At 44.7% G+C, this 9120-nt stretch overlaps 1 protein-coding gene across 10 annotated transcripts in view; it reads right to left on the bottom strand.

Annotated features, from left to right (window-relative positions):
* Positions 1-9120, bottom strand: part of NWD1 (NACHT and WD repeat domain containing 1) — a 98117-nt gene that overhangs the window by 23251 nt on the left and 65746 nt on the right. For 9 of the 10 annotated variants that reach the window (XM_011527929.2, XM_024451466.2, XM_011527930.3 and 6 more), the window contains 3 exons: positions 5523-5731; positions 3091-3363; positions 160-250 (listed from right to left, as the gene is read on the bottom strand). In XM_011527929.2, the coding sequence (XP_011526231.1) occupies positions 160-250; positions 3091-3363; positions 5523-5731 (573 nt within the window). The remainder of the gene's footprint in view (positions 1-159; positions 251-3090; positions 3364-5522; positions 5732-9120) is intronic. The other variant, XM_047438676.1, reaches the window with a different exon arrangement.

The following is a 9120-nucleotide window of genomic DNA, read 5'->3' as shown; positions in this document are numbered from 1 at the left end:
CTCGTCTGGACTGCAAAAAATGTTTACTATGAGGCCATTTGGCAGAAAACGTTGCTAACCTCTGGCCCTAGGACTTCTCTCTGTTCCCAAGCCCCACCCCCTTCTCCAACCTGATCCTGATTAGCTTCCTCACTACTCCAAATGAGAGCTAAACGCTACCTGCGGCGAGGAGGGACTCATCTTCAGAGACCACCAGGAACCTCACAGCATCTGGAAGCTTCTCCAGCAATCTGTCCCCTTTGGAGGAAACCTGTGCAGAACCAGGGATGCCTGTCAGGCACTTCCACGGGTTAAGGGTTACAAGTCTGGAATTTTTTAATTTTTTAATTTTTATTTTTTTTGTTTTTGAGATGGAGTCTCACTCTGTCTCCCAGGCAGGAGTGCGGTGGTATGATCTTGGCTCACTGCAACCTCCGCCTCCCGGGTTCAAGCAATTCCCCTGCCTCAGCCTCCCAAGTAGCTGGGATTACAGGCACCTGCCACCATGCCCGGCTAATTTTTGTATTTTTAGTAGAGATGGGGTTTCACCATGTGGGCCAAGCTGGTCTCAAACTCTTGATCTCAGGTGATCCGCCCACCTTGGCCTCCCAAAGTGCTGGGATTACAGGCGTGAGCCACCATGCCTAGCTGACTCCATCTCTTAATAAAAATTTTAGCTGGGCATGGTGGTACACCCCTGTGGTCCCAGCTACTCAGGAGGCTCAAGCAGGAGGATCACTTGTGCCCCTAGGAGTTGGAGGCTGCAGTGAGCTATGATTGTGCCACTGCATTGCAGCCAGGGTGACAGACTGAGACTCTGTCTCTAAAAAATTTTTTAAATTAAAAACATAAAAGTTGGCCAGGTGTGGCGGCTCATGCTTGTAATCCCAGCACTTTGGGAGACCGAAGTGGGTGGATCACTCGAGGTCAGGAGTTTGAGACTATCCTGGCCAACATGGTGAAACCCCATCTCTACTAAAAATACAAAAATTAGCCGGGCGTGGTGGCACATGCCCGTAGTCCCAGCTACTGGGGAGGCGGAGGCAGGAGAATCGCTTGAAGCTGGGAGGTGGAGGTTTCAGTGAGCCGAGATTGCGCCACTGCATTCCAGTCTGGGCGACAGAGCAAGACTCAGTCTCAAAAAAAAAAACAACCAAAAACCAAAAAACAAAAAAACAGTTAAAAAAAAAAGGTAAAAAACAAATTCTGGCCAGGTACAGTGGGTCACGCCTGTAATCCCAGCACTTTGGAAGGCTGAATGAGCCCATAAGTTTGAAACCAGCCTAGGCAACATAGTGAGACCCCCACCTCTACAAAATAATAATAATAATAATTAGCCAGGCATGGGGGCATGCGCCTGTAGTCCCAGCTACTCAGGAGGCTGAGGCGAGAGGACGTCTTGAGCCCGGGAGGTCGAGGCTGCAGGGAGCCATGATCGTGCCACTGCACTCCCGCCTGAGAGATAAAGTAAGACCCTGTCTCAAAAAACAAAACAAAATATCTGCAAAGAGGCTTGAGAAAAAGAAAAACAACCCCAAGGATTTGGGAGTATCTTTCGTTGTTGTATTTGGTACCTTGAGAACTCATGAAGACCACAGGTCATGAGGTTCAGAAATGTGGAGCTTTGGGATTTGGGATGATTCTTCTTCTTCTTTTCTTTTCTTTTTTTTTTTATTTTTTAATTTTTTTGAGACAGGGCCTGGCTCTGTCACTCAGGCTGGAGTGCAGTGGTGCAATCTTGGCTCACTGCAGCCTCCACCTCCTAAGCTCAAATGATCCTCCCACATCAGCCTCTCAAGTAGCTGGGAGTACAAGTATGCACCACCATGATTCCTTTCTTTTTTTTTTTTTTTTTTTGAGATGGAGTTTTGATCTGTCACCCAGGCTGGAGTGCAATGGCATGATCTCGGCTCACTGCAACCTCCACCTCCCGGGTTCAAGTGATTCTCCTGCCTCAGCCTCCCTAGTAGCAGGGATCACAGGCACCCACCACCACACCCGGCTAATTTTTGGGCTTTTGTTTTTGTTGCTGTTGTTTTTTGTTTTGTTCTGAGATGGAGTTTTGCTCTTAATGTCCAGGCTGGAGTGCAGTGGTGCAATCTTGGCTCACTGCATCCTCCACCTCCTAGGTTCAAGCAATTCTCCTGCCTCAGCCTCCCAAGTAGTTGGGATTACAGGTGCTCACCACCACGCCCGGCTAATTTTTTGTATGCTTTTTTAGTAGAGATGAGGTTTCTTCATGTTGGCCAGGCTGGTCTCGAACTCCCAACCTCAGGTGATCCACCTGCCCCGGCCTCCCAAAGTGCTGGCATTACAGGTGTGAGCCACCGTGCCTGGTCAATTTTTGTACTTTTAGTAAAGACAGGGTTTTGCCATGTTGGCCAGGCTGGTCTCGAACTCCTGACCTCAAATGATCCACCCCCCCTCAGCCTCCCAAAGTGCTGGGATTACAGGAGTGAGACACAGCGCCCAGCCAGTCTATATGTTAATGTCCATGAAAGCAGCCGTCCACCAACCACCAACAGGGCAGGTGGATAGAGCCCAACTCCTAGTCCCTCTGTGGCGCAACTCTCAACCTCATTCCACACCATGTCTTAGAGATCCCCTGAAGGACTGAGCTTCAACAATTGCCCACATTGGTCAGTCCCCAAGAGACGCCAACAGATGTTTCCTGAACTGTGCTGAACTGCAAATCCCTACGATTAAGAAGCCAAGCGTGTGGCCGGGCACGGTGGCTCATGCCTGTAATCCCAGTACTCTGGGAGGCCGAGGTGGGCAGATCATCTGAGGTTGGGAGTTTGAGACCAGCCTGACCAACATGGAGAAACCCTGTCTCTACTAAAAACACAAAATTAGCCAGGCGTGGTGGCACTTGCCTGTAATCCCAGCTACTCGGAAGGCTGAGGCAGTGAGAATCGCTTGAACCCGAGAGGCGGAGGTTGCAGTGAGCTGAGATTACACCATTGCACTCCAGCCTGGGCAACAAAAGTGAAACTTCATCTCCAAAACAAAACAAAGATACAAGGCAAGATTATTTTTCCCAACTTCTAGCACATCTGAGCACTTTCAAGCTGAGTTAATGTTCACATCATAGTCAGTAAAGGTGCTTACCAAAGAGATGGAGCCATTGCTAAACCCGGTAACAAGCTTTCCTTGCTTCTGGACTGAGACGGCACAGGTAGGTGTTTCTTCTTTGATGCTGGACATATGTTGCTTCCCCTGAAGTTTTCCCGTAGCTGAGCTCCACAGACTGACCACACCATCCCTGGACACTGTCAGCAGTGTGGCCTGGGAGGCCAGCACGGCCATGCACATCCAAGGATCAGAGGCATCTCCCAGGATATGGAATACCGGCTCTGCAGTTTCCAGATTCCAAGCATTGATCTAATAGAATAATGAAGAGGAAGCAGCATCTTGGCAGGAGACCTAGACTACAAGTTTCCCGGAGTCAAATGCAAGATGCCTTCTCTTGTATACTTTATGCATTTTCTTTTCTTTTGGAGACAGAGCCTCTCTTTTTCACCCAGGCTGGAGTGCAGTGGTGCAATCATGGCTCACTGCAGCATCGACCTCCTGGGCTCAAGCAATCCTCCTGCCTCAGCCTCCCAAGAAGCTGGGACCACAGACACGCACCACCATGCCTGGCTATTTTTAAATTTGTTTTTGTAGAGGCAGGGTCTGACTATGTTGCCCAGGCTGCTCCTGAGCTCCTGGGCTCAAACTATCCTCCCTGCTCAGCCTCTCAAAGTGCTGGGATTATGAGTGTGAGCCACTGCACCCGGCCTATGCATTTTATTTTTAACACTCCCAATTCAGAGAAAAAAAGGAGAGGTGGGCCAGGCCTCACATGTGATTTTAAACTCATTAGCTACCTTACAAAAGGTACAAAGAAACAAGTGAAATCAATTTTAGTATTATATTTTATTCAACCTAATATGTCCAAGTGGTATCACTTCAACATGTAATCAATACAAAAATTATTATTGAGATGGTTTATATTATTTTTACTATACTAGGTCTTTGAATTTCAGCATGTTGGGACAGTCACATTTCAAGTGTTTTTATTTATTTATTTATTTATTTATTTATTTATTTTTTTTTAATGTTACTTTCAGTTTTGGGATACATGTGCCGAACGTGCAGGTTTGTTACATAGGTATACATGTGCCATGGTGGTTTGCTGCAACTATCAACCCGTCATCTAGGTTTTAAGCCCCACATGCATTAGGTATTTGTCCTAATGCTCTCCCTCCCCTTACCCCCTACCCCCCGAATTTCAAGTGTTTAATAGGTACATCTGGTTGGTGACTCCTATTTTGGGCAGCATGATTTATATGCACTGATATTACTGTCAACAACCACCAATTACTTATGTAACATAATAATAAATAGATATCAATTATTTGGTGCTTACAGTGTGCTAAGCACTATGCCAGGATATGTCTCATGATCTTATGAGGAAGAGGCAGCAATAAGACTCAGAATGGTGAATGACACAACCAAGGTCACTGAGTTCCCAAGAAACTCAACTGGTAGTTAAATAAAGATTTTTTTTCCTCCTGGCATCAATTAGTAAGCTATCACCCACGAAGTTATTGTGTGTCTCCATTTATAAAACTATGAAATCACAGGGTTATGATTGATGTAATGGAATAACACAGTGGAACAGACATTGTTTTCAGAAGCCCACAGATCATTTAGAGAGACTATAAAACAAGCTAGGCATGATGGCTCAGGCCTGTAATCCCAGCACTTTGGGAGGCCAAGGCAGGTGGATCACCTGAGGTCAAGAGTTTGAGACCAGCCTGGCCAACATGGTGAAACCCTGTCTCTACTAAAAATACAAAAATTAGCTGGGCGTGGTGGCGTGCGCCTGTAGTCCCAGCTATTCAGGAGCCTGAGGCAGGAGAATCACTTCAACCTGGGAGGTGGAGGTTGCAGTGAGCTGAGATTGTACCACTGTACTCCAGCCTGGGCGACAGAGCAGGACTCCATCTCAAAAAAAAAAAAAAAAAAAGAGAGAGAGGAGAGAGAGAGACTATAAAAGAAGTCTCAATGAATTTGAAAGGTTTTACATCATCAAAATGGAATTTAATTAGAAAAAAAATACAGAACAGGACCCTATCCAGAAATTCCTCAAATATCTGGAAACTAATAGTATACTTTTAAATAGCCCATGGATCAAAGAAGAAATCAAAAGTGAAATCTGAAAGTATTTTAAACTGAATGTAAATGAAAACACACGTCAAAATTTACAGGATGTAGGTAAAGCAGTACTTTGAGGGAAATTTATAGCCCTAAAATGCTGATATTCAAAAAAGATGAAAGGTTTCAAATCTTGGGGTCAGAAAGAATTATCAGGATTGTCTAATCCAACTATGAAGTCTGAAACCTCTTATAGCACCCTCTCAAGTGGTTGTGTACTCCATTTACACCCCCACCCCATCACTGTATCAGGGAGCCCTCCTTATAGAAATGGCCTATTCTGTCTTTGAATGCTCTGGTCTCAGCTTTCCTTTACAAACAGGGCATATGTTTGTTACCTTTGAGCCAGATGCTGAATACACAACTTTGTGTGCCTCATCCACATGAAGGTTCCAGATCTGAGGTTCAGCGGGATTTTTTGAGCCTCCATCCCAAATGGTAAATTTCTCCTGGCCAGAGAGTAAGTTCCACAAGTGCAGCGTGTAATCCTTTGAAGCAGAGTTGGCGAGGGTCCCTTTGGCAAATATTTTCACACACCTCACCTCTCCTGCAGCAGGCCAGGGTAGGGGAGAGTATATTAGCTGGGAACATTTTGGCCTTGCAACTATTAAAATGCTTGTCAGCTTGGAAATACCCTCATTTACCAAAGAAAAGATGGATGGAATTGAATTGTGAAAGTCATCAGAATAAAAATGGAGTCAATAACATTAAGAAAACCCTGGCAAACAGGCTATAAAGGAAGGCTATGGAGAAAGAGTTCTCACGCTTGTATGCCTAATAACAGAAAAAACTACAAAAATCACAACCTTGCACAAAGGCTACTGCAACCTTACAGAAAAAATACATCTGCAAGGCAATCTGCCCAGCAACTTCCTGTCCAGCCACACCCTCATTATTGATTTTTGTAATCAAGGATAATTATTTCAAAACAATTATGTAACCCTCTTTTTTTTTTTTTTTTTTTGACGGACTCTCTCTGTCACCCAGGCTGGAATGCAGTGGCTCAATCTTGGTTCACTGCAACCTCTGCCTCCTGGGTTCAAGTGATTCTCGTGCCTCAGCCTCCCATGTAGCTGGGATTACAGGCACCTGCCGCCATGCCTGGCTAATTTTTTCTATTTTTAGTGGAGACGGGTTTGACTATGTTGGCGAGGCTGGCCTTGAACTCCTGGCCTCAAGCGATCCACCCACCTGAGCCTCCCAAGTGCTGGGATTACAGGCATGAGCCACCATGCCTGGCCTTTTATTATTATTATTATTATTATTATTATTATTATTATTATTATTATTATTATTTTGAGATGAAGTTTTGCTCTTGTTGCCCAGGCTGGAGTGCAGTGGCGTGGCCCTGGCTTATTGCAACCTTCACTTCCCGGGTTCAAGCAATTCTCCTGTTTCAGCCTCTCGAGTAGCTGGGATTACAGGTGCCCACCACCACACTTGGCAAATTTTTTGTATTTTTAGTAGAGACACAGTTTCATCATGTTGGCCAGGCTGGTCTCGAACTCCTGACCTCAGGTGATCTACCCACCTCGGCCTCCCACAGTGCTGGGATTACAGGCATGAGCCGCCGCGCCTGGCCTATGATGATGATGATGATGATGATGATGATGATGATGATGATTATTATTATTATTATTATTATTATTATTGTTATTATTACTATTTTGAGATGGAGTCTTGCTCTGTCACCCAGGCTGGAGTTCAGTGGCATAATCTTGGCTCACTGCAACCTGTGTCTCATGGGTTCAAGCAATTCTCATGCCTCAGCTTCCTGAGTAGCTGGGATTACAGGCATGTGCCACCGCGCCTGGCTAATTTTTGTATTTTTAGTAGAGATGGGGTTTCACCACATTGGCCAGGCTGGTCTCAAGCTCCTGACCTCAGGTGATCCACCCGCCTCGGCCTTCCAAAGTGCTGGGATTACAGGCGTGAGCCACTGTGCCCAGCCTCTTTTTACTTTTGTTTTGTTTTGAGAGCCTCTCTCTGTTGGTTAAATTGATAGAACCTGTCCAAATGGAAAATAATGAAATGTGGCAAAGCAAAATTCAGAGGGCCACAACTGGTTGGGAGTCAATCAGTTGCCCCAGATGTTGAATACTAAACAGATAATTGAGTTTTATAAAGATTCAGCATCTAAGAGTGTCTAAAATTAATAACCACGTAAAAAAGGGGCAACTTCTAGAAAAATTATAGGATTTCTCTCATCATTTTTATAATCTTGCAAAAAAATAATTAGCCAGGTGGGGTGGCATGCACCTGTGGTCCTAGCTACTCGGGAAGCTGAGGTGGGAGGATCATTTGAGCGCAGGAGGTTGAGGCTGGAGTGAGCTATGATCACTCCTCTGCACTCCAGCCTCAGCAACACAGCAAGACCTTGTCTCAAAATAAATAAATAAATATAATAATCTTAGAGAGCTATTTGCTAAGCAAAACGTACAATTTGGAAGGCATAAAGGGGAAAAACTGACCAACTGGATTATGTAGAAATGTAAAACTTCAGGAGGATAAACTGCAGTTGGAAGGCACATCATGAGAGATGTGGAGGAAATATTTGCAACATATAACAGACAAATGGAGATTCTGCTTAATAAACAAAAAGTTCATCAGGCTGTGATTAGGTTATGAGGATGGCGCTCTGGGGAATGGGATTACTGTCCTTATAAAAGTAATCCCAGGCTGGGCAGGGTGGCTCATGCCTGTAATCCCAGCACGTTGGGAGGCTGAGGCGGGCAGATCGCCTGAGCTCAGGAGTTCGAATCGAGACCAGCCTGGCCAACAAGGCAAAACCCCGTCTCTACTAAAAATACGAAAGTTAGCTGGGTGTGGTGGTGTGCGCCTGTAATCCCAGCTCCTCGGGAAGCTGAGGCAGGAAACTCGCTTGAACCTGGGAAGCAGAGGTTGCAGTGAGCCAAGACTGGACCACTACACTCCAGCCTGGGCAACAGAGTGAGACTCTGTCTCAAAAAAAAAAAGTGTCCCCAACATAAAGATGGGAACAACAGATACTGGGGACTACTGGAATGGGGAAGGAGGAAGAGGGTCAAGGGCTAACAAAATTCCTCTTGGGTACCATGCTCACTACCTCAGTGATGGGATCATTCGTACCCCAAATCTCAGCATCACTCAATATACCCATGTAGCAGACATGCACATGTACCCTGTGAAATTGATGGTGGAAATTATAAATGAAATAAAATACAATAACAGAACAAGGATATGACTGGGCCAGGTGGCTCACACCTGTAATCCCAGCACTTTCAGGGGCCGAAGTGGGAGGGTCACTTGAGCCCAGGAGTCCGAGACAAGCCGGGCAACATAGTGAGTCCCTGTCTCTAAAAAAAAAAGTAAAAATAATAAAAATAGGCTGGCACAGTGGCTCACGCCTGTAAACCCAACACTTTGGAAGGCCAAGGTGGGTGAATCAGTTGAGGTCAGGGGTTCGAGACTAGCCTGGCCAACATGGCAAAACCTTGTTTCTACTAAAAATACAAAAATTAGCTGGGTGTGGTGGCAGGCGCCTGTAATCTCAGCTACTTGGGAGGCTGAGGCAGGAAGATTGCTTGAACCTGGGAGGCGGAGGTTGCAGGGAGCCAAGATCATGTCATTGCACTCCAGCCTGGGCGACAGAGTGGGACTCTATCTCAAAAACAAAAAAATTTAAAAAAAAGAGTCAATGGACACAAAAGAATGTTTATGGCAAAACATTGATAAAAATATATATATAGTATATATTTATATATTTATGTATATATTTGTTTTTGTATATATGTATATATACTTTCATGTATGTATATATTTATGTTTTATTCACACATATATATTATGTTTTACATACATAAAGCATAAATATATACATACACAAAAATATAGATTAAAATATGTATATATAAGTGTATATATATATAAGTTCAGAACATTTTCATAATCTCAGAA

Source organism: Homo sapiens, chromosome 19 (genome assembly GCF_000001405.40).
Source record: "Homo sapiens chromosome 19, GRCh38.p14 Primary Assembly".
In the NCBI taxonomy this organism is placed as follows: domain Eukaryota; kingdom Metazoa; phylum Chordata; class Mammalia; order Primates; family Hominidae; genus Homo; species Homo sapiens.
Note: the sequence above shows the minus strand (reverse complement) of the source record. Positions and strands in the feature narration are given on the sequence as shown.